Source organism: Homo sapiens, unplaced genomic scaffold (assembly GCF_000001405.40).
Source record: "Homo sapiens unplaced genomic scaffold, GRCh38.p14 Primary Assembly HSCHRUN_RANDOM_CTG28".
Taxonomy (NCBI): domain Eukaryota; kingdom Metazoa; phylum Chordata; class Mammalia; order Primates; family Hominidae; genus Homo; species Homo sapiens.
In genome coordinates, this window is record NT_187506.1 from 1 (window position 1) to 27,043 (window position 27,043).

The 27,043-nt window shown below is 38.4% G+C and overlaps 1 pseudogene; it reads left to right on the forward strand.

The window, feature by feature from the left end:
* Positions 1-7: 7 nt before the first annotated feature.
* LOC100996316 (putative ankyrin repeat domain-containing protein 20A2) overlaps positions 8-27,043 on the forward strand; it is a 32,857-nt pseudogene continuing 5,821 nt past the window's right edge.

Below are 27,043 nucleotides of genomic sequence, written 5' to 3' on the forward strand. Positions count from 1 at the left end.
GAATTCCTAGTTTCTGAGTCTTATTTTTCCCCTGATTCAAGAAAACTGTGAATTATCCAGCCAGTAAAAAACTCTCACAGCTCTGGATGTGAGTTTAGGACACTGGATTTCTACCACTCATTTTCTTACTACTTTTCTTGTGCAAGGATCATGGCACAAGTTGCAGTTTCCACCCTGCCCATTGAAGATGAGGAGTCTGTTGAAGATGAGGAGTCCTTGGAGAGCAGGATGGTGGTGACATTCCTGTCAGCTCTCGACTCCATGGTCAGACCTTCTGTTCTCACATTCTGTATTTCAGTAGGACTGGGCGGTAGATAAGGTTGATTTGTTTTTGTAGAACTTACAATTTTGTGATTTTTAGTTCTAATGAGAAGACCTTTTTCGTGAATAGTAGTTACGGTCAAACACCTCTGACCAAATGTGCATGTGGAGTTTCTACACTGATTTTCAGACAATCTGGATCCCAACTGGGTATCCCACAATTCTATCCTGACACTCCCTGGAGTTAGTGCAGACCCCGCAGGAGGGGCGCTCAGTCCCAGGAGTCTACTCTCACTCCACATGCCAATTGCAAGTCTTGGGTTGTTACATGTAGTTTTGACCAACCAGTTAGAAAACAAGGTTTAATGACCCTCATTGGTGGGTGGAATCATTTGCTCGGACAGCTTGCAGAACTCAGAAAAACAGATTGTTTTCTTTTTTTTCTGAGATACAGGGTCTCAGTCTGTTGCCAGGCTGGAATGCAGTGGTGTGATCAAAGCTCACTGTAGCATGGGACTCCTGGGCTCAAGTGATCCTCCCACCTCAGCCTCCCAAATAGCTGAGATTATAGGCCTGTACCAGCATATCTGGCTATGTTCTTTTACTTTTTGTAGAGATGGGGTCTTGTTATGTTGCCCAGGCTGGTCTCAAATTTCTGGGCTCACGTGATCCTCCCACCTCAACTTCACAAAATGCTGGGATTATGGGCATGAACCACTGCATCTCACCAATTTACTTTCTTTTACTGGTTCATTTTAAAGGCTAAATCTCAGGATGTTGTCAGACTCCTGGCCTCAAGTGATCATTCTGCCTCAGCTTCCCAAAGTGCTTGGATTATATGTAGGTGGGAGCCACCTGTGTTCAATGCCCATTTTCTTTTTCTTTCTTTCTTTTGGAGACGGACTCTTACTCTGTCATGCAGGCTGGAATGCAGTGGTGTGATCTCAGCTGACTGCAACCTCCACCTCCCTGGTTCAAGCAACTCCCCTGCCTCAGCCTCCAGACTAGCTGGAATTACAGGCCCATGTCACCACTCTCAGCTAATATTTTTGTATTTTTAGTAGAGACAGAGTTTCAGTATGTTGGCCAGACTGGTCTCGAACTCCTGAAATCAGGCAATCCACCCACCTTGGCCTCCCAGTGTGCTGAGATCAGAGGCGTGAGTCACCACGCCATGCCCAGCCATTTTTAAAATAATAACGTTATTGAAATATGGTTAACGTATCATGCAATTCATTTATCAAAGTACGCAATTCAGGCCAGGTGCAGTGGCTAATTCCTATAACGCTAAGACTTTGGGCAGCTGAGGCAGGTGGATCGCTTGTGTTCAGGAGTTTGCGACTAGCCTGGGCAACATGGCAAAACAGCATCTCTAGCAAAAATACAAAAATTAGCTGGATGTGGTGGCTCATGCCTGTAGTCCCAACTACTTGGGGACATGAGACTGGAAGATCACTTGAGCCCAGAAGCCATAGGTTGCAGTGAGACCAGATGGCACCACTGCACTACAGCATGGGTGACAAAAGGAGACCCTGTCTTTAAATAACTAAAGAAAAAAAGAAAGTATACAATTGAGTGGTTTTTAGAATATTCAAGGAGCTGTGCAGTATACATACAGATGGATAATTGTATAAATAAGTACAGATGTGTATAAATGTGTGAGTATACATACATATATTTTCTAGCTCCTCTAACAAAAGGGCCTAGAAACAACATCATCCCAGTAACAATGAGAACACCATTCTCCAATTAAAGGAACCAAGGCTCCTTGGGGACATATTTGATATCAGGATTGGCCAGGGAAAATACAACATTAGTTTGAAATATTTTGTCATGTTAGGAAGTAAGGAAATGCTCACAAAATGGGGAAAATGTGAAAGGGAAACAGATCCATTTTGAATAAACTTCCATAGCCAAATTTGAGAAAATTGGGGCAATAAAATAGATAACAATAGTAATATATTACAATCTACAGAAGAAAATTTTCAATTAATCCAGGCCAGGTGCGGTTGCTGATGCCTGTATTCCCAGAACTTTGGAAGGCAGAGGCGGGCAGGTCACTTGAGGTCAGGAGTTCGAGACCAGCCTGACCAATGTGGTGAATCCCTGCCTCTACTAAAAATACAAAAATTAGCCGGGCATGGTGGCCCATGCCTGTAGTCCCAGCTACTCTGGAGGCTGAGGCAGGAGAATGGCTTGAATCCCGGAAGGTGGAAGTGCAGTGAGCGGAAATCGCACCATTGCACAACAGCCTGGATGACAAAACAAGACTCCAACTAAAAAAAAATCCATATTGACATAAATAATAAACCAAAGATTGAGAATGGGTAGTATTTATTACAGTAAAATTTCATTAAATGTAGGAGACATAAAATATAAGAATCATCACTTTGCAAATATCACAGTAATAATTGTTGCAAGAAAGAACCTTGGAGGGATGCTAAGATTAGTGGTGAATATATGTTGGGAAAGAACATATTTGCATAATATGAAAGTATCTTCCCACAACATAATTATAGAATAGTAACTTCAAAGTGGAGATGTCAACTTAGCCAAGTGATCAAAGTTAACGTTACTAATAATAAGATAAATGAACTTCATGTAACTTCTTATATGATGCACTGAGTAGGACAAAACATCAATTCTATGGTATTCTTAGACAAAATGTATAACTTTAGTCCTAACCGTGAGAAAACATCAGACTAACTGAAATTGAGGAGGGACATTCTACAAAATAACTGCCAGTATTCATCAAAAGCATTTTAGAAAGACTGAGGAATTCTCCAGAGACATGGAGGCATGTTATCTAAGTGCAATGGAGAACATGCATTGTATCATGAACCAGAGATGGACAACAGTAGGATATGTACAATAACACCCCAACATTTGAACATTAAACAAAATACTTCAGAAAAACCCATTGGCCAAGAAAAGTTTCACACACAAAAAAAAAAATAGTTTAAACTGAAAGAAAATTTTTTAAAAACTTAATAAAATGTGGGATGCAGATAAATCTTTTCTTAAAGGTACATTTATAGATGTAATATACTGAAAATAAAAGGCTTCAATCAATGACCTTTAGGTTCTTTTTTAAGAGGCTAAAAAATGAGCAAAGTATATCCAAATTAAGAAGAAGGAAGATGATAAAGATAAAAATGTAAACCAACAACATAGCAAATAACAAAAGGTGGAGCTAATTAATATACCCACAAATTGGTTCTTTGAAAAAAATTTTTTTAATAAACAATGGCTAGCAAGATTTATCTCGAAAAAATTTAGAGAAGCTACATAATGTAGATAATGGGAATTAAATAGAAGATGTAACTACAGAACCTACAGACATCAATATAATTATGAAAACTTTAGGCCAATACATTTGACAATTAAAATAACATGGGAAATTATTTGTAAAACTAATTCTTAAAACTGATGCAAAATGAAATAGAAAAAGTAATAGCTTCTCTATGTATTGAAGAATTTTTTTTAATTTAAAAAGATTTCTATACTTACAGGCTACATGCTTTCTTAGGTGAATTCTATCAAACATTTAAGAAAGTACAGAGAGTCCTCAACTTACAGTGGTTTGACTTGTGCTCTTCTGACTTGATAATGGTGCTTTCATCTGTGTACATTAATGATGAGCATCAATATGACCAGTTTTTCACTATCAGTGTAGTTTTCAATAAATTTCATGAGATACTGAATATTTTAAAATGGGTCTTGTGGTAGATGATTTTGCCCAATTGTAGGATAATGTAAGTGTTCTGAGCAAGTTTAAGGTAGGCGAGGCTAAGTCATGATATTCAGTAGGTTAAATATATTAAATGCGTTTTAGACTTACAATATTTTCAATTTAGGATGAGTTCATTAAGACATAAGACAATTGTAAGTTAAGGAATATCTATAATATCAATCTTGAACGGACTCTTTTTAAGAAATAGAATTTAAGGGCCAGGCACAGTGGCTCACACATGTAATCCCAGCACTTTGGGAGGCCAAGACTGGCAGATCACCTGGGGTCAGGAGTTTGAGACCAACCTGACCAGCAAGGAGAAACCCCCGTCTCTACTAAAAGTACATAATTAGCAGGGTGTGGTGGCGCTTACCTGTAATCCCAGCTCCTTGGGAGACAGAGGCAGGAGAATAGCTTGAATCTGGGAGGCAGAGATTGTGGAGAGCCTAAATTGTGCCATTGCACTCCAGCCTGGGCAACAAGAGTGAATCTCCGTCTCAAAAAAAAAAAAAAAAAAAAAAGAAAATTTAAAGGGACATTTCCTATCTTATTTTATGAACCCAGTATTGCCGATTCCAAATCGAGACAAAGGCATTATACAACTTTGATGTTTATCCCTCATAAACATAGACTCAAAAGTCCTTAAAACATAATAACCAATTGAATGTAGCAGTACATAGAATGGATAATAAACTGTGAACAAATTAATTTTCTAGCAAGATTGCAAAGTTAATTTATTATTTGAAAGATCAGTTTAATCAATTTTATTCACCTGGATGGTTACATCTGGCAAAACTCAGCAAACTGTGCACTTTAAAATAGTATTTATTTTATGTAAATTATGTTTCAATACAATGGATTTAAAAAAAAAAAACTTTTCCCAGAGTGATCAAAGTTGAGGGCAGGGAACAGTAAACATCAGTGCTTATGTTATAGCTACTAGAAGCCTCCCAATTCCAACGACATGCTTTCAAGCAGGTCTGATCCTTCCCCTGGAGGATACCTCTGACCCAGGTGTGCTACAAATGCATTGCCCCTAGTTGCTTCTGTCACCTTAGTGATGGAAGTGACAACAGGTTACTGGAGAAAGAAAAGGTGTACAGGGTTCCAAATATACATTCTATTTCCAAAGGACATTTGTGAAGCCAGTGGAAAGCGAACAAACAAGCTGCTAAATAAGTCACAAGTGTGTTCTCATACAGTTTTGCGATTAACTAAATAGGACATTCAACAGATAAAATTTGTTTTACATAGTTACTCCTCTAATAGGATGAACTTGTGGATTGTGAGATAGAGCTGATATAACCTGTTTTCTCTCTGCCTCTTTTTTTTCCCCCAAGTTTTGTGTGCAATACATTAGGAAAAATATAATTGGGCTACAAAGCTACAAAAATGGCTTCCTGGCAGTTCCATGCTTGTTTCCATGTGGTGCCTATATTTGGCACTGTGTTCTCATTTGCACTTTCCTGCTTGATTAGTTAATGTATGAAGGACAAGCCTGATCTCTACTGTGAATTTTTACCAAGGTATTCTAGTAGAAAAATGAGTATGTAATGGTGCTGTGGCATGCTAAAGTGTGTAAAACATTAAGAATCTAAAAATATGCTGATTTCCAAGTTTTGTCCCAGAGCAACTGTGCACTCTGATTATATCGCTACTGCTATTTAAAGTTATCCATTTGCATGTCTAAAAAATAGATTCATACTGATTGTCCCATTTTGATCTCAAAAAACTCCGGAATATGAGAGTCGTGATCAAGGGACGCTTCATGAAATGTTCCAAAGTTAAAGTGTGCAATGAAACCAGATTTATCATAGCCTTATTTAAAATAATTATTTCTAAAATTGTTATTGTTTAATTATAAACGGTATCCTTTCAGGATACTTGGAAGATCCATAGCAGTGCTTTTATTTTCACAGAACAAGCATAAATTATTTATGAAATAATAACTCAGATACAGAGATTACTTCCTATTGGCCTTACATATGAATATAAATAAATACATATTATGAACATGAGCATACTTATTTTATAATTATGTAAATGTGTGTGTAATGTTATATATAAGTTCAATAAAGTCATGCTTATACATGGTTTCAATTCATGCTTCTAAAAACCACTCAATGTAGTCATTATCATATGTTAATAAATAATCTCTGAAAATGTGCTTCTAGTAGTTTCACAATATCCCATCATAAAGATTGTCATGCTGTTTTTAAGTCATACTTTTGGGTATATAAGTTATATCTGATATTTTTCTGCTACATATATACTATTATAAATCTATTAGTAGCTGATTTTTTGTCAACACATATGATTGTTTCCTCATAGTACAAGAGTTGGTTGTAACTTTATTTCCTTCCAACATTTATTTTAGGTTCAGCGGGTACATGTGCAGGTTTATTATATGGGTAAAATGTGTGTCAATGGGATTTGGTGTACAGATTAGGTAGTCATCCAGGTAGTGAACGTAATATCTAATAGGGAGTTTTTTGATCCTCACTCTCCACCAACCCTCCACCCACAGTAGACCTTGTGTCTATTGTTCCCTTCTCTGTGTCCATGTGGACTCAATGTTTAGCCCCCACTTATAAGTGAGAACATGCAGTGTTTGTTTGGTTTTCTGTTCCTTCATTAATTCACTTAGAATAATGGTCTCCAGCTCCATTCATGTTGCTGCAAAAGACATTATTTCATCCTATTTTATAGGTGTGTAGTATTCCATGGTGTATGTACGCTGCATTTTTTTAATCCAGTCTTCTGTTAACAGGCATCTAAGTTGATTCCGTGTCTTTGCTATTGTGAATAGTGTTATAATGAAAATATGCGTGCATATGTCTATGACAGAATGATTTATATTCCTTTGGGTATATACCCAATAATGGGATTGCTGGGTTGAATGGTAGTTCTGTTTTAAGTTATTTCAGAAATCTCCAAACTGCTTTCCACAATGGCTGAACAAATTTACATTCCTGATGAAACTGGAGACTTCCCTGACTCCCCTTGGCAGGATGTGCAACAGGGGTGTGGCTTGTCTGGCCACCGTGTGTGCTGTCAAACCCCTTACTGGGCAGGGGAGCATGCAGACAGGCAGGTGCAATAGGCAGGGCAAGTGGCCATGGTACTGTCTAGGGGTGGGTTCCTGCGACTCCCACAGCCCAAGTGGGCATGTGTTACAGTGCACTCTTTTAGCTTTGCCATCCACAGACGGCTTAAGTGTTAACCTGTTCAGTGCCCTCTTGGTACCCAGTTCCTTGTCCAGCATCCAGAAAGAATTAAGTTGCACACAGACTTGAGGATGGTGAATGTGGGGGTTTTATTGAGTGGTGGAGGTGGCACTCAATGGGATGGATGGGGAGCTGGAAAGGGGATGGAATGGGAAGATGATCTTCCCCCGGAGCTTTGCCATCCAGAGGCTGATCTCTCCAACCACTGCCAGCCAAACTCCTCTAGGCATTCAGATGCTCCTTCTCTTCTTTCTGCCACATCATTCTGCAATTCTGCTCTTCTGTTCATCTCCTCATCTGCTTGCCATCCAGAGGCTGATCTCTACAACCACTGCCAGCCAAACTCCTCTTGGCATTCAGATGCTCCTTCTCTTCTTTCTGCCACATCATTCTGCAATTCTGCTCTTCTGTTCATCTCCTCATCTGCTTGTCTGCTTCTGGAGCCTGGGGTCTGGGGCATATATGGGTACAGGACAGGGGGTGCATGGTGAGCTGAAAGACAACTTTTGGGTGCAAAAGCAGGAATGCCTGTTCCCATTTAGGGCCATGGGTTTCCAGGCTTGTGGGCAGGGCTTTGCCAGGGAACCACTCTCTTCTACCCAGTATTTCCCTGTCTCCTTTCTATATCACCACCAGCAGTGTATAAGCATTCCCTTTTTTCCACAAACTCGGCACCGTCTGTTATGTTTTGATTTTTTAATAATAGCCATTCTGGCCGGTGTGATATGGTATCTCATGGTTCTGATTTTCTGATGATTAGTGATGTTGAGTATTTTTTCATACGGTTGTTTGCCATACATACGTTGTATTTTGAAAAAAGAATTCACAGACGGCTTAAGTGTTAACCCTTTCAGTGCCCTCTTGGTATCCAAGTCCTTGTCCAGCATTCAGAAAGAAGTTGCACATGGACTTGAGGATGGTGAATGTGGGGGCTCATGTTCTTTGCCTATTTGTAGTGGGTTTGTTTTTTGCTTATTGATTCTTTATACATGCTAAGTATTAGACCTTTTTCAGATATGTAATTTGAAAATATTTTCTTCTGTTCTGTAGGGTGTTCTCTGTTGATAGTTTCTTTTGCTGTGCTGAAGCTCTTTAGTTTCATTAGGTCCCACTCATCAATTCTTCTTGTTGCAATTGCTTTTGGAATCTTCATCATGAAATATTTGCCTGCGTCTATGTCCAGAATGATATTTCCTAAGTTTTCTTCTAGGGTTTATATAGTTTTGGGTCTTACATAAGTCCTTCATCCATCTTGAGTTGATTTTTTTATATGGTGAAAGGAAGGGAGTGTACATGCCCCTGTGATATTGTTCCTAATATCCAGGTTGGGAGAGGATATTATACTCAATATTGCAGGAAGTGTCGACCACCCTGAATATTGCTTTTAATATCCGGGGAGAGAGGGTGATATTACTCCCAATATCATCCTCTCCCCCCACACCCTGCATAGTACAAGCAATATCAAAGGGGGTCTGTGCAACACCTGCAATATTGGGAGTAATATCCTCCCCCAACATGGATATTAGAAACAGTATCACAAGGGGTTGTACACCACCTGTGATATTATGGAGTACTATCATTTTCTTTCCCCATGGATATGTAGAACAATATCACAAAGGTGGTGTACAACCCCTGCCATATTGGGAGTAATACTGTACTTTCCCCACCTAGATATTAGGAACAATATCACGGGGGGTTATACACCACTGCAACATTGGGAGTAATATCATCCTTTCCCTCCCTGGATATTAGGAACAATACCTCATGGGTGTGTACACCCTGTTCCATATTGGGATTAATATTTTCTCCCTTGCTGGACATAAGGAAAAATATAACGGGGGGTATACACTCCTTATGATATTGCCAGTAATATTATAGACTTCCCAAAGGGATATTAGAAAAAGTATCAGAGAGGGGTGTACATCCCCTGCGATATTGGGAATAATATTCTTTCATCCCTGGATATTAGGAATAATATCACAAAGGGGTTTTATACCCCCCGTGACATTTTAATTAATATCATCTTCCCCACTGAATATTAGGAACAAATTCCCAGGGGTGGTACACCACCTGCAATATGGACAGCTATATCATTGTCTCTCCCCCGAATATAAGGAACAATATCACAAGGGGGTTGTACAACCCCTGTGATATTGGGAGTAACTTTATACCCTTTCCACATGGATATTAGGAACAATATCACAGGGTGGGTGTACACCCACTGCGATATTGGGAGTAATATCATCCTCCACCCCCTGGGTATTATGAACAATATCATGGGGAGGGGGTGTATGCCCTCTGTGATATTGGGAGTAATATCATCCTGTCCCCTCTGGATATTAGGAATGATATCACAGCGGGGCTGTACCTTTTCTGCACTATTGGGAGTGGTATCACCCCCTCCCCCTATGGATATTAGGAACAATATCACAAAGGGGGTGTACACATCCTGTGATATTGAGAGTAATATTGTTCACTCTTCCCTGGGATATTAGGAACAATATCACAGGCAGAGTGTACACCCCCTGCTATTTTACCTGTAATATTATTCTCATCCAACTTGGATATTAGGAATAATATAACAGGAGGGGTGTACACCACCTGTGATATTGGGAGTAATATCATTCTCTCCCCCCATGGATATTGAGAACATTATCACAGGGGCGGTTTACACTTCCTGCGCCATTTAGAGTAATATCATCCTTTTCCCCCATGGATATTAGGAACGATATCGCATGGGAAGTGTACACGCCCGCCATATTGGGAGTAATATTTTCTCCCTTGCTGGACATTAGGAACAATATCACGGGAATGCACACACCCTGCGATATTGCCAGTAATATTGTAGTCTCCTCCCAGGATATTAGGAACAATATCACAAGGGGGGTGTACATGCCCTGTGATATTGGAAGTAATATCATCGACTCCCCCCACGGATATTAGTAACAACATCAGAAGGGGTGTACACCCCTTGTGATATTTATAGTACTATCATCCTATACCCCCTGGATATTAGGAACAATACAACGGAGGGGTGTATACCCACTGTGATATTGGGAGTAATTTCATCCTCTACCCCTTGGATGTTAGGAGCAGTATCACAAGGGGGGTGTCCACCCTCTGTGATATTAAAAATAATACCATTCTCTCCTTCTCTGGATACTAGGAATAATATCACAGTGCTGGTGTGCACCCTTTACACTATTTGGAGCAATATCACCCTCTCCCCAACTTGATATTAGAGACAATATCATGGGGGGTGGCGTGTAACACCCTGCACTGTTGGGAGTACTATCATCTATTCTTCCCCTGGATATAAGAAACAGTATCACAGAAGGGGTCTACACCTCCTGAGATTTTGGGAGTAATATCATCCTCTCCAAATCTGGATATTAAGAACAGTATAATGGGGTGTAGGGAGTAATATGGTGGGAGTAATACAATCCTCCTCCCCACTTGATATTAGGAACAATATCGCAAAACGTGTGTACACCCACTGTGACATTTGGAGTAATATCAACATTTCCCCACCTGGTATCACGGGGAGAGTGTACACTCCTTATGATATTGGAAGTATCATTGTCTCTCACTCTCGATATTAGGAAAAATAGCACAGGGTGTGTATACACTTCCTGTGATTTTGGGAAGAACATCATACCCTTCTGTCTTTGATATTAGGAACAATATCACAGAGGGGATGTACAACTTATGTGATATTATAATATTCTTTCTTCCCATGGATATTAGGAATGATATCCCGGGGGGCTTGTTGTACACCCCCTGTGATACGGACAGTAATATCATTGTCCTTCCCCCTACATATTAGAAACAATATCACAAGGGTGGTATACATCCCCTGGATATTAGAAACTATCACAGGGGGGCTGTACAACCTCTTTGATACTGTGAGTAATGCCATTGTCTCCCCTCCTGGGTATTAATAACAATATCATAGGGTGGGTGTACACCCCCTGCAATATTGGGAATAATATCATCCTGTCTTCCCCGGGATATTAGGAATGGTATCACAGGTGGGGTTTACACCCCCTGCAATTTTGTCAGTAATATTACTCCTGGATGTTATTGAATATATCACAGTGGGGGTGTACACCCCCTGTGATATGGGGAGTAATAGCATCCTCTTTCCCACTGGATACTACAAACAATATCGCAGATTGTGTACAACGTCCTGTGATATTGTTCACAATATTTAGGGAAGGAGAGGATGATATTACTCCACATATCACAGGGAGTGTTACATCCCCTGTAATATTGTTCATAATATTTAGAAGACGACAGGATGATATTACTCCCAATATAGTAGGAAGTATACACTACCCTGTGATACTGTTCATAATTTTTAGGGGATTAGAGGATGATATTACTTCCAATATCACAGGGAGTGTACACTGGTGATATTGTTTATAATTTTCAGTGGATTAGAAGATATTATTCCGAATATCACAGGGGTTGTACATCCCCAAGTGATATTGTTAATATCCAGTGGGGAAGAGGATGTTATTACTCCCCATATCACGGGGGATGTAAACCCGTTTGTGGTATTGTCACTTACATCCGGGGGGTAGAGGATGATATTACTCTGCATATCATAGAGGGTGCACACGGCTGTAATGTTGTCCATAATAACATCCAGAGAGGAAGAGAATATTATTCCCATGTTTCAGAAGGTGTACACACCCCTGTGATAGTCTCTGTAACATTTAGGGAAGAAGGGGATGATACTACTCCAGATATTGCAGGGGGTGTACACCCCCCTGTGATACTGTTCGTAACGTTTAGGGGGAAGAGGATGATATTACTCCCCATATCGAAGGGATTGTACATCTCCCTATATATTGTCCATAACATCCAGGACAGGAGAGGATATTACTACTCCCCATATCACAGGGGGTGGACAACCCCCTCTAAATATGTCTAACATCCAGGCGGGGACAGGAGGATATTTTTCCCCATAACCTAGAGAAAGTAAACCTCCTGCGATTTTGTCCATAACATCCAGTGGGGAGAGGATGATATCACTCCCCATATTGCAGGGGGTGCACACTCCACTCTGATATTGGCCGTAATATCCGGGGGGGTGAAGTATGAAGTCACTACACATATCGCAGGGATTATTAGTATCAGATTGTTTGAAGGACTCACAGTAAGGGTAGTAGTAGGGCGAGTTCTAACTCAAATAGGGGAAATGTGATGGCTACTAGAAAGAATTTTATGGAGAAGGGAATGTGGGCAGAGGATAGAGGGTCAAATCTGCATTCATAAGGGCTAGACTTTTCTATATATATTTATTTTATACATATATATATATTTTTATCTCTCTCTACATATATATATTAAGTTGTGGGAGCCAAAATGTAATAATTATTAGTAACAGGGCTAATAGGGTGTTGATTACTAGGGTTAATGTTAGGTGAATTACTGTTTTTCGGATGCTATCAAAACTTTGGAAATCATGGTACTATTTATACTAAAAGAGTAAGATCCTCATCAATAAGTAGAAACATACAAGAATAGTCATACTACATCTACAAAGTGTCGATATCAGGCAGCGGCTTCAAAGGCAAAGTGATGACTAGATGTAAAGTGGTATTTTAATTGGCGGAGAAGGCAGACTGAGGAATGTTGATCCAATAATGACGTGAATTCTGTGAAAGCCTGTAGCTATAAAAAATGTTGAGCCATAAATACCATCAGAAATAGCAAAGGGAGCTTTGAAGTATTCTGAGACTTGTAGGAGGGTGAAGTAAATATCTAATATAATTGTAACAGGTAGTGCTTAGATTGTATGTTTTTGATTATTTTTTGTTAGGCTGTGATGGGCTCAAGTAATTGAAACTCCTGATGCAAGTAATACAGATGGATTCAGGAGAGGTACTTCCAGGGGGTCAAGGGGAGAAATACCTGTTGGGGGTCAATGCCCTCCTAATTCTGGAGTAGGGGCTAGGCTAGAATGGTAGAATGCTCAAAAGAATCCAGCAAAGAGGAATATTTCTGAGATAATAAATAGGACTGTCCCATCATTGGAAGCTCCTGCATACCATAAGCTACTAGAGGTCAGTAAACATATTTGTGTGTATCCTGGAGTACCTAGAAGACAGTCTTCCATGTAAGAAGCATTTTACTTGTTGTTTTTTGAGATGGGGTTTCACTCTGTCACCCAGGCTGGAGGGCACTGGTGAGATCTTGGCTCACTCCAATCTCCATTTCCTAGGCTCAGGTGATCCTCACACCTCAGCCATCCAAGTAGTTGAAACAATAGAGCTATGTCACCATAGACCTGTGTCACCATGCTGGGCTGAGTTTTGTAGAGATAGGGTTTTGCCTTGTTACCCAGGCTCTTCTTTAACTGTTGGGCTCAAGTGTTCTGCTCGCCTCAGCCTCTCAAAGTGCTGGGGTTACAGACATGAGACATTCAGCCTTAATAGTTGTTTAATCTGAATAAATAAACAAATGAATTTTTATATAATGGAATGTTATAAGTAATATAATAAACCTAATGTATCTAATCATTAAATATTGTATTTAAAACATTGCTTACATTGTATTATTTTTTAATATTTAAGGGTGTATAAGTTTTGACATGTTATGTTGAGAAATTATGCAATAATTAAAAAGGAAATAAAAGAGAAATAGGTCATCGGTAGCAAAGAGGGTTACAATATATTTTCTAGTATCATTCAACTGGAATCTTAACATTGAGATTTTAGATTAACATTTCTTAAGGTTTTTATTAGACCCAACTCATGTTCCATTAAATATACCGTTTCAAGCCATACATTACTCTTTATTATTATTATTATACTTTAAGTTCTAGGGTACATGTGCACAACGTGCAGGTTTGTTAAATATGTATACATGTGCCATGTTGGTGTGCTGCACCCATTAACTCGTCATTTATATTAGGCATATCTCCTAATGCTATTCCTCCCCTCTCCCCCCACCCCATGACAGGCCCTGGTGTGTGATGTTCCCCATCCTGTGTCCAAGTGTTCTCATTGTTCAGTTCCCACCTATGAGTGAGAACATGTGGTGTTTGGTTTTCTGTCCTTGCAACAGTTTGCTCAGAATGATGGTTTCCAGCTTCATCCATGTCCCTACAAAGGACATGAACTCATCATTTTTTATGCTGCATAGTATTCCATGGTGTGTAAGTGCCACATTTTCTTAATCCAGTCTATCATTGATGGGCATATGGGTTGGTTCCAAGTCTTTGCTATTGTGAATAGTGCCACAATAAACATACATGTGCATGTGTCTTTATAGCAGCATGATTTATAATCCTTTGCATATATATCCAGTAATGGGATGGCTGGATCAAATGGTATTTCTAATTCTTGATCCTTGAGGAATCTCCACACTGTCTTCCACAATGGTTGAACTAGTTTACAGTCCCACCAACAGTGTAAAAGTGTTCCTATTTCTCCACATCCTCTCCAGCACCTGTTGTTTCCTGACTTTTTAATGATTGCCATTCTAACTGGTGTGAAATGATATCTCATAGTGGTTTCAATTTGCATTTCTCTGATGGCCAGTGATGATGAGCATTTTTTCATGTGTCTGCCATACATTACTCTTTAGAATTCTGGTGACCAATTCTTTTTCTGGGTGGAAAGTTGATGGAAAGTTCCAGTTTTCTCTCTCTGTTATAATAATGTTCTTTCAGGTAATGGTAGATGACCATATTTAGCTAATTGAATGTCTTATAGTAAGAAACACTATCACAGAAGTACTTACAAAAAACTAATTGCAGCATAAATACTAATTAGTATTATCAGAGTTATGAAAGACCGAAGGCTCTGTTATAGATCTATTTCCCCATGTACTTTATTGTACTTCATGTTTTTCGTTTTCTTTCTTGGCTTAAGCTCATATTTCATTGACTAATTAGGCTTGTTTTTTGTTTGTATCTCTCTTTGTTCTCACATTTTAAATTGAAATTTTTGGGGAGGCAGGGTCTAGCTCTGTTGTCCATGCTGCAGTGTAGTGGCATGATCTTGGCTCACTGCTGTATCCACCTCTCAGGCTCAAGTGATCCTCCCACATCAGCTTCCCAAGCAGCTGGGACTACAGGCACACACCATCATGCCTGACTCCTTTTGGTATTTTTTGTGTAGAGATGTGTCCTCATTATGTTGCCCAGGCTGGTCTCCAACTCCTGAACTCAAGCAATCCACCCACCTTGGCCTTGCAAAGGGCTGAGATTACAGGTGTGAGCCACCATGCCTGGGCAACATTGAGATTGATTTAAAGAAATTGATTAGGGCTGGGTGTGGTGGTGCACAATGCTTATCTCAACATTTTGGGAAGCAGAAGTGGAAGATTTGCTTGAGCCCAGGAGCTTGAGACCAGCCTGGGAGGTATAATGAGGCCTTGTCTCTACAAAGATAACAATAAAAACATTAGCATGACATGATGGTATGCACCTGTAGTTCCAGCTATTCAGGAAGTTGAGGTGGGAAGATTGCTTGAGGTCAGGAGTTTGAGACCACAGTGAGCCATAATCAGGCCCCTGCATTCTAGCCCTGGGTTGACAGAGTGAGACCCAGTTTCATAAAAAGAGATTGATAAGAAACTCTTGATGCAACTCATTATAATTTTAAATGGAAACTAATTCTTGATATTACCTTAGCAGTGTGTCCCCCAGAAAGTGTCAGAGCCTTTACGTGGACCTTCTCATGAAAACGGAAACAGAATAGTCAATGGAAAAGGAGAAGGTGAGAACCGTATTTTATTTAAAAAGTCATTTGATGGAGACCAGACGCGGTGGCTCACGCCTGTAATTCCAGCACTTTGGGAGCCGGACGTTGGCGGGTAATGAGGTCAGGAGATCAAGACCATCCTGGCTAACATAGTGAAACCCCATCTCTACTAAAAACACAAAAAAATAGCCGGGCATGGTGGCGGGTGCCTGTAGTCCCAGCAACTCGGGAGGCTGAGGCAGGAGGATGGTGTGAACCTGGGAGGTGGAGCTTGCAGTGAGCGGAGATCGTGCCACTGCACTCCAGCCTGGGTGACAGAGTGAGACTCCATCTCAAAAAAAAAAAAAGTCATTGATGGAATGTTTCTTTTAAAATATGAGCACTAATAGAGTTTAATAGCTAAAGAAAATGTCCTATTAACTGTATCATAAGTAAAAGAGAAATGAAAAGGTGATAAGTGGTGTCTCTAACCAAGGGTCAGCAGTTGATTCTATTGGAAGTACCACTAAAGGAGCTGAGTTATGAGTTCCATTTTAACATACTCTAAGACCTGAGGCAAGTCAGGAGAGAGGGAAGAAGAAATGAATAAAAGAGAAAGAAAGAATGAGGAGGGCAGAGTGTACATGGAATAAATAAAAAAAAGTGGATGTATGTAATGGAGGGTAGTAAAGTCAAATTGATCTGTAGAAGAAGGAAGAACAGGGTGTTAGAAATAGGAAGGAAGATAAAGTGAGCTTCCAGTACCAAAATGTGTCATATAATTACAGTAACATTTTCCTTCTCTTGCTGTCATTCTTGCTACTGGGGAGGCATTAAGGATTGAGGTACTTTACCATGCAGACCTGTGTTTTATCTACCATAGATGAACATCACCGTAAATGGTCAGCCATGTATGGCTATAATTTGTTTTTATAGAAAATGAAAAGAATAGTGTTGGGTGATTTATTGGGAAGAAATTAATTAGAGAAGCTTTGCCTGATTAAAAGTTCATTAGAAACATTATGGCTTATAACGTAGTATTAAATTCAGGGACATAATAGGAAAGAAGTTGAGGCTAGGCCAAAAAGGCCAATTAGGGTAAACCAATATGGAAGCACACCAGTGTAGAACAGGGCATTCAAATTGTCATGAATTCGTTGAGGAGCTTCTGGAAAGTGCACATTCTGACTCAGCAGGTATTGGAGTCTGCATTTCTCATGAGCACTCAGGTGATGTTTGTGCTGGTCCTTGGACACAGCTCTGAATAGCAAGGGAATAGCCTTCCTTTAGAGAAATCTGGAAAAAGAACCACTGGAGAGCAATTTAAAAAATAACAGAATCCAGGGAAAGCTTTAATTTCCTTTTATTTCTGAGCATGATTCTAGCCACAAGGGAAGGAAAATGAGATGAAAAAAGAGAGATTACAGGTGTATACTACTGCTGAATACAGATGAAAAAAGTGGTCACAATCATCCATATAAAGCAGTTAGGAAGGGAAGCATCAGGATGACAGTTCTGATAATCATTTTTTCAAAGGAAGAGGGATGGTGAATGGACACAAAAGGAGGAAAGAAAGACATTTGCTGGGGTCTTGGGAGTTAAAGCCAAGTAAACTTGAGACAACTCACTTCCAGTTGCTTCAGCATATGCCCAGTCTCACAAAAGAGGTTATTGCTGTGGAGAGTACTGGAGACAGGAGGGAGTGCTAGAGTTGGGGTAAACCACAGCAGCTCATTTCACTTGATAACTGTCAGGCCTCAGGGAGAGAAGTTTCACTGACATGAGTGAATAAGATATGATTAAGTTGCATATAGATGCTTTGGCGAAATTTTTTTGAGACAGCCAGTTCTTTGATATGATAGCTGTTTTATAAAAGTCCTTTACAGTGTAAGATAATATACCAAACTTAGTTAATTTTAGAAGTAATCATAAAATTCATTCCATGAAAACCAAAATTATCATTTTTAATAAATACTGCACTGATTTTGAAATATAAATATGTATTAATATCCAGCAAGTCTGTGGTCATTCAATGTTTTCTTTTTTGATAAATATTTTGATATCAGAAGCTTATTCGACATGGTTTATTTGATGTGTTTTATGGACCACCTTGCATGAGTGGATCAAGGAGCTCTAATTCAAGGCCAAATGAGGGGATAGGAGAAATGTAGGTGCTGCAGTAGCCCATGTGATCATGGGAAAAATGAGTACTTTGATTAGCTGTTATTTCATAAGTGTGTATCCTAGCTGATCAATGTAGAACCCTTTCTTTGATGAGAGGTGAATCCCACATTCACCTGAACTGTCATCCCAACTGAGTATTTCCTCAGTGACAAGACAAGGGGAATTTATTTGTGCTGTGCTGGCAGCAATGCCTCTGGTGTGTGGAGTTAAAATACTCTGTACATTCACCATCAGCTTTGACATTGATTCTCTCAGGTTTGATTTGCCCCTCTGTTTAATGGTCCCTTTTCTCCTCATTAGTCCACGTGTTCACGGTTATATCAATGCTTTTCTATTTTAAGTATAGGCATTTGAAACATAATCTCACTACTGAAATGTAAACTGTGCATTTTGGGAATCCTATATTCCTATTTTCCTCATTGTGTTTCTGTCATGTTGCTGTCCTAGGCAATGAAAAGACGAAGCCAAGAAGAACCCTCAAAACCTTAAGTAAATATTTTTATAGCCAGGCCTGAGAATTCAGCTCGACAGTAACACTGCATGAATGTTTGGTTGGTCCTGTCATACTTACATATAATTGATGACATATCCCCTTTGCTTTGTAGGGCCTCCTGCAAAACATCCTTCCTTGAAGATAATTAATTATGTATATTTTTGAATCACTAACTCCATGTTGTATAAAATATATATGATTTATGAATCGTTTTCTTTTAAAACCCATTCAGCCTAGCACTGAAGTGGAAGATCCTGCTGTGAAAGGAGCAGTACAAAGAAAGAAAGTACAGACATTGAGAGCAGGTACATTTGATGTAATACTGGAAATAAAGTACATTCAATGATTGGATGTACTCATATTATTCTTATTCCTAATTCTATTTGTTCAATATTGAACAGAAGGCATTGACATAAATGTTATTGTTGGTATCCATATTTGAATAAAAACAAATTTAGAAGCATAAAAAAGATTTTAAAAATGTAAGCTTTAAGTCAGATGTTTCTGTTTTAATGTTTTGAATAGCATGAAGTTTTCAGTATAAAATTTTTATACTTGTCAGGGATTCAAAGCAGTGAATTTTGAGACTCTTAAGATATTTCCAGTGAGTTAAGTGCTAGTTGGAGTTCTGATCTTTACCTAGAGGAAAGCTTTACCTATTAAAGTGTCAGTTTCTGTTTTAACTTCAGAGGCTTGCTGCTAGTGTTATTACACTGATGATCTGAAGCTTATCAGATGTTCTAATGAGCAAGACTGTGTGTGTAGGTGTATATATAGATGTGTGTATGCGTGCGCTTGTGGCATCTTTCACTATTACAAATGACGAAAGTAATGATTCATTTATGACTGGTAGACACAGTCTTTTAAAATGGTGATTTTGAGCCTTTTTAGTGTTAAAGTTTTTAAAACATGATTGCATAGAGGCTACCAACATCATAAGTTGGTTGTTTTTCATTTCAATGCCCTTTTGAAATCTTTAACTACATTGTGATGCCCAGAAATAATATGCAGAATTTTTTGTGTCCTAAAATAGTATGTGAGTGGTTATATACTTTATATACCTTTCTGCCACTTTCTTTGGTGTGTTTTGTATTATATTTTCCACTTGTACCCACATTGGTGTGATTATCTCTGGTTTAATTCATTTTACACTGTTCATTGTATTCCCTCATACCACTTTACCACATTTAGTTAGACTCTCCTGTTGCTGATAAATGAAGAAATAAAAAGAAAAATAATGTCAGTTTAAGAGGGCTTTTCTTTAATCAGTTTGTATCTATTAGCATTTACTATATGAGAGTTTAAACCTGAAAAGTTCAGAATACAAGCATGCACCACCATATTTTATTAATGCCCTTAGAACTATGACTCATGAGCCTTTAGCCTATGAAGTTAGGACAATTCATTTCTCTGAAGAAGAATGCTGGGCTGTTCTCAGAAAAGAAAACTGAAAATAGCAAATGATATTGTCTTATTTTACCTCTTGGACATCCTTGAATGAAACTGCTACTAAAGGGATACTCGGATCAAAATTCAGATCTAATGTTTTGAACAGTATAGTTTGTGAATGTCCAGTGATCATGAGCCCTTGATGGGGAAATGACCTTTCGAGTTTCACTTTTGCATTTTTTGCTCTTTTCGTTGACTTGTCTTGAAAGCTTAAATTCAACTATTTTATTTTTACAGAAATCAGGAATATAACTTTTAAAATATATGTCTGTCCTGTCTCACGGTGTTGTGTACTCTTCAGATCTTGTATGAACATAGACTTATATGGGAACAATTAGGTTTTTTGTTTGTTTGTTTGTGTTTTTGAGACAGAGTCTTGTTCTGTCACCAAGGCTGGAGTGCAGTGGCTCAGTCTTGGCTCATTACCACCTCTGCCTCTCAGGTTCAAGCAATTCTCCTGCCTCAGCCCCTCGAGTAGCTGATACTACATGCACGTGCTACCATACCCTGCTAATTTTTCTATTTCTAGTAGAGATGGGGTTTCACCAGGTTGGCCAGGCTGCTCTTGAACTCCTGACCTCAGGTGATCTGCCCACCTCGGCTTGCCAATGTGCTGGGATTACAGGTGGGAGCCACTGTGCCAACTACAAATAAGATTTTTAAGGCTATTATATTTTATACAATTCTTTGGTCTATGTGAATTCTGGAGGTATTCATGCATTGAGGGAAGATTATCTCAGTTTAATGAAAGCAGTTTTTAATTTAAAGTATATTCATTAAAATTTTTTTTGAAGTTTTTTTCTCTAGTACACAGAAACACACAATAGTATCATGGGTATTTGACCTTAATGTGTTTATGCACAAACTTAGTTATTCAAATATTTTCCTATCCCTGAAGAATCTTAATTACTAATAAACAAATTTCTCATGGAAAACAACATATATAACAGAGATGGTTGAGTGATTGAAAGTAAACTGTAGTAAATACCAGAAGCTTAGAACAAGTTAAGTAAACTTGTCTGAGTTAATAGCAATTACAAGACTTTTAAAATACATTGGACCACGGGGGAGTAGTGCATTTGTGGGGTAGAGGACAACATGGTACTGCTTCAGTGAAGAAAGAACTTTTACACCTTATTACAATTTGTATTATTATTTACATTCTAATAAATAAAAACTTTATTTTCAGATATTTTACATCATGTTTCTACTAGTTGAACCATCAATAGTAAGACTTTTCAAAGATTTGGGAAGTTGTGAGTTGATGATAAATATCTGTATCACCATCAGTGATCAAAAATCAGACAGCAACTACCATAGATTTTGGACATGCGAACTTCATAGTTAAAGAAAGGATTAATCTTGGAGCTGTGTTTCTATCAAGGAATTACACTCTTCATTACCTGTGTGAATCGCAGTTATTAGAGTAGAAAGAGAGCAAAGAAGGGAAAGAAGCATAGAAAATTTTATTCTAGATTACCTCGTTTGGCTTCATGCTACCATAGTTCTGACTTTTAAAGAGTCATTTTGTGGTCAAATATACTTTGTGTTCACTCCCCTTATGCAGCCTACAACCAAACAGAATGGTTCTTAGCAAGGCATTTGTATTCTTCCCTTAAGGAAAGCAACATATAAATAAGAAAGGGAATGAGAAGAAAGAGTGATTTCATTGAGGTTGGTATTTAACATAAATTTGAGTACAGGTACCATGATTATATTTAGAATTTTGTGGCTGGATGGGAAAACCAGCTAGATGTCTATAGATTTCCTACTCAAACACAATGTGCCTTTGTTTTACTTTTACGTCTCTAATTTAGCAATTATTAGGTACAACTGTATGCAGTGTCACTAAAAATACCTCCCAAAACCAAATATTAAATAATGTCTATGGCTTTTTGTTTTATAGTGTTGATTTTCCCAATATTAATGGGAACCACTGAGCATTTGCCTTGTGGTGTCTCCTCAGCTGTATTCACATATTCCATCACCTTTTCTTAATGGATAATCACGCACTATGAGTAAGGGTTTTCAGAAAAGCTGTGTCATTTAAAGATAACACAGGAGCATCAAATTTAATTCTGCTAGGACGCCTGGTCTACTGATTAACTGCAGCTAATATGAGGTCTACTTCACATCCAAGTTAAATTCAGTGCCCTTAATCAGTCATATGATGAGGTCAACAGTAATAAATTATGCAATATTTTTTCACCCACCCCTATAGTTTTAATTTCTTTTTCCCCTTATGTCTGTGTTTAACATTTTGCTTTGCAAAACATGATGATAATCTTCTAGAGTAGTGAGGACAAGCTATAAATCCAAAGTTTCTTACCTATGCAAATGACTTGTTTGCTCTATTTTCTCATGAGCTTGGTAGATCCAGGGAACAGAACTTTTAAAACAAAATCCCCATATGTTGCTGGGTGCGGTGGCTAGTGCCTGTAATCCCAGCACTTTGGGAGGCTGAGGCGGACAGATAACTTGAGGTTGGGAGTTTGAGACCAGCCTGACCAACATGGAGAAACCCATCTCTACTAAAAACACAAAATTAGCTGTTCATGGTGGCACATGCCTGTAATTCCAGCTACTTGGGAGGCTGAGGCAGGAGAATCGCTTGAACCCAGGAGGCAGAGGTTGCCATGAGCTGAGGTCACACCACTGCACTTCAGACTGGGCAGGAAGAGTGAAATTCCATCTCAAAAAACAAAAACAACCACAACCACAACCACAACCACAACAACCACCACAAAACCCAAATGCATTTCCTTGGCACAGTAAAACTGAAACAGAAAAAGGGTAAAGTAAATACAAGTAACTGAAAGAGTTTATGTATATTACTTTACTTCTCATTTGATTGATAAAATTTGTAAAGTAATGAGCAGAGTGTATTTCTCCAGGGACCGAGATATATACATTTATTTATTCAATAGAAATTCATTCTTATAATGGCCACTGATACCTATATCCTAAATATTTCTGAAAACATCTCCTCAGGCCTGCATCATCTTTGCAACATTGCCTTATATTTTATCTTTGTTCATTGATTTATATGCCTCAGAATTTTATGCTCCTCACAGTATTTAGAGTGAATTATCCCTAATGCAAATAGATCCGTGAATCACTCCTGAATACCTAATGTCTAAGCATCTTAAAGGTTTATATAAGGATTTCAGAAACTGACTTCTGGGTTGGGCACGGTGGCTCATGTCTGTGATCCCAGCACTTTGGGAGGCTGAGGCAAGTGGATCATTTGAGATCAGGAGTTCAAGACCAGCCTGGCCAACAAGGTGAAACCCCATCTCTAATAAAATACAAAAATTAGCAGGTGGTAGTGGCACGCGCCTGTAATCTCAGCTACTCAGGAGGCTGAGGTAGGAGAATTACTTGAACCTGGGAGGCCGGGTTGCAGTGAGCTGAGATCATGCCACTGCCCTCCAGTCTGGGAGACAGAGTATAACCTTGTCCCAAAAAAGAAAAGAAAAGGAAACTGATTTCTGCCCAAATCTCCATCTGTATCCCTTTCCCCATCTGCCTTTTTCTCTGGAATTACTGAGTTGCTGGTAATGGCCCCCTCACCATTCCTCTTCTGCAGAGAAATACATACGCTCTTGGAGGCTTCTCTTCCTCTCTTGTTGCTGCCTGGCATGTGCTCACCCTTTCCTGCCCTCTGCCTCGCTTAATCTGGCTAACCTCACTCTCTAAGTCTCAGCTCATGGATGATCTTTAGGAAAGCCATCCCTGACAGCTTCTATTTTCCTTCCTTATTCCCCAGTGCCTAACACTTAGCAGGAACTCAATAAGTAATTATTTAGCAAAATTAAGACTGCTTATACAAAGATGATTCAAAAGATTATCCTCTACAGTCTAGCAGCAAAGGGGTCAACATGTAAAGACATGATGTGCAGGTCAGGTGGTAAAGTGACACTAGAAAAATTGACAAGGTACTAAGGGACCCCAACGAAGCAGACACCTCTGTGTGTGGAGAAAGATACCTAGAATCAAGGAAGATTTCACATAGCATTCTGAGCCTTTTTTTTTTCCTCTTTTTGGAGACAAGTTCTTACTCTATCACCCAGGATTGGAGTGCAATGGCATGATTGAGACTCACTGAAACCTCAGACTCCTGGGCTCGAGGGATCTTCTCATCTAAGCTTCTTGAGTAGCGGGGACAACAGGAACATATCACCATACCTGTCTAATTTTTTGTAGAGTCAAGGTTACCTATGGTTCCCAGGCTGGTCTTAAACTCTTCGCCTTGAGCGATTCTCCCATTTTGGCCTTCCAAAGTGCTGGGATTACAGATGTGAGCTATTATGCCCAGCCTACTTTCTGAGTCTTAAAAGATGAAAATAAATTTTTCAGAATAGCAGGGGAAAACATTTGTGATGTAAAAAATGGGGTGCACACTAATTGAGGTATAAACAACAATAATTTTGCAAATTATTAGTAACTGCCAACTCAATTAGTGTCTTGTTAAAAAGATACTGTTATGAAGTATAATAAAGCATTACGTTGTATATTTTGACTGTATTTCAAATTTCTGTTTTGTTTCCAACAGTTTTGTTGACTTATGTTGGGTGGAACAATTTGTGAGTGACCCTGAGATTTTACATGGCTTGAATCTGGTGATATCTGGTGTCTCCCCAAGTGGTTTGTTGAAGTTTTGGATAATTAGAAGTATTTCTTACAGAAGTAAATATTTCAGTAAACATTGTTTCATTCAAACTCTCAAAATATAAAATACAAAGAAATGTTATTCTCTATTTATTTTTATAAAGATTATAGTCCTTATCTAACTCTTCTTAGTTCATTTGAACTAAATCAATGACTTTGTCAACAGAACAAACCTTACCAGTGGCTTTAGAGGAAGAGCAAGAAAGGTGTGAAAGAAGTGAAAAGAAGCAATCACAGGTATATGAAAATTTAAGTTCTTGTTTAATATTAGGGTTTTTTTTTGCTTTACTAACAAAGCATAGTCCAAATGACATGACCTTTCAGACTATACCTTTAGAATCCAATAGATCATAATTTTATATTTAATTTTTAAAACATCTTAACCAGTTATGAAACTTAAGATATTCTTACTATCTCTAGTAACTATTAGTTATTCTAGTAATTCTTAGTATCTCTAGTAATTCATAGCTGTATTTACCCTTAGAATTGAGGCAAGAAATTTTCAGAATTACCTTGCTGTTTTATTTATATAACCTTACTCATAATACACAAGGTAACATGAAGTATTGGGTCATATTACTGAGGAATAGAAATTATGAACAGTTTAACAACAATGGCCACTGAGTTAAACTAGTGTTAAAGGAGTCATCATTGCCAGTGCTTCAAATGTTGCAGTTTTATATTGCTGGTCACCAGTGCCGAGGTTAAAGATTTATTCTGTTTTGTGGTCACCAGTTGACTTCTGTGTCTGTGTTCAGGGAGTGAATGGGGTCATAAAAGTCAATGCAGTTGCCTATTAAGAGAATCCTACCTTGCAGAATGGGACCTTTGGTGTCAGGGTGTGAACAATAACTTTATTTCAACATAAATACATAGTAAACATTACTGAAATTTAAAAAATCCAAACCCTATCACTACTGGAACTTAAAATATATTAGAAGTGGATATAAGCAGAAATTCTATCTAGATACATAACACTATCATAGTATATCATTTGAATTAGAATTTAAAATTTTACTTCTCTTTCTTATTGGTGTTCAGTTTAGCTCTTAATAATTTAGTGTTTGCCTAGTGCTCTAGTTAATCTTCAGAAATAAACATGCACTGTAGGGGCTCACTCTTTCTGGTATGCTGAGGTAAAGTCTTTGTAAGAGAGGAAGCTTTTATAATACTACCTATCATCTTTGAATTCATTTCTGGTAGATTTTACACAAATGCATTAAGTTTAGTCCAAACAGACAGTGAGAGTTCAGCTTGCTGGTTCATGTTTCTGTCCTATGTTAAGCCAAAGCAAATTATTTTTCACTTTTTAGTTACAATCCCATAATTTAAGAGTAGCAACACATAGATTAAGTTTCACAGTTAAATTTTAATTATTTTCTAATATTTCTTTGTTTATACTTGATTAAAGCTAATTTTAAAACATGCACTCTGACAGAAAAGACATCTGAGAAACAAAACAAGCAAATTTGTTTTCCATTTTGCACCTGCCCCCCACCAAAAAAAGTCTCAAGAACCAGAACTGGGTAAGAACAGTGATAAAGGGAATCAATCTATATATTCATGACTTTCTTTAAAATTCATTACAAACAAGTTCAAGCTGAATATTGGTAAAAGTTCTGAAAACTCCAAAATTACTACTTGCCCTGAGGAAGAGCTCCTACATGGTAACTCTAAAGAGGGATGAACAAAAAAGGAGTGCCCTCTAGTCTGATGAATCATGTCCCTGATTGTGAGGAGAAAAATGTATCTGGAGGGTCTAGCTCTGTGGCAGTCCAGGCAGCGCCTGAACAGAGGAAGCCCATGTCAAATGTCTTTTTATTCCATTCACACTCCAGGTCCCTGAAATACACTTACCAGTCATCTTCTAAGCTTCATTTAATTTAAAATAAATCAGACTATAAAAATGATAACAAACCAGACACACAGCTTGTTTCTAACACAGATGATGGAAATTTTTGTTATGATATAGAAACTGAAAAAGTAAGGAACCCAGTAATTATGATTGAAATGAAAGATGATTAAGAGTTTGACATGCAAATGGAAAAATATATAAACCCAAATACCACTAATTGGAAATTAGGCATTGGTCTCAGTCTAGAGATCCAGAAAGCCTTTTTGATTTGTGGTTTACCCACCCCAAAGAAATGAAGCATATGATTCAGATAGAAAGTCACAGTATTTCTGCTGCTACAGATACTTATAAAAACAGAAAACCAACACAGTGCTTATTCCAGAAGCCGCTGTATGAAAATCCCAGTGTTAATAACTACAAAACCATGAATCTTGAACTATAAAATGCGGGTTATTCTTTGCCACATAGTGA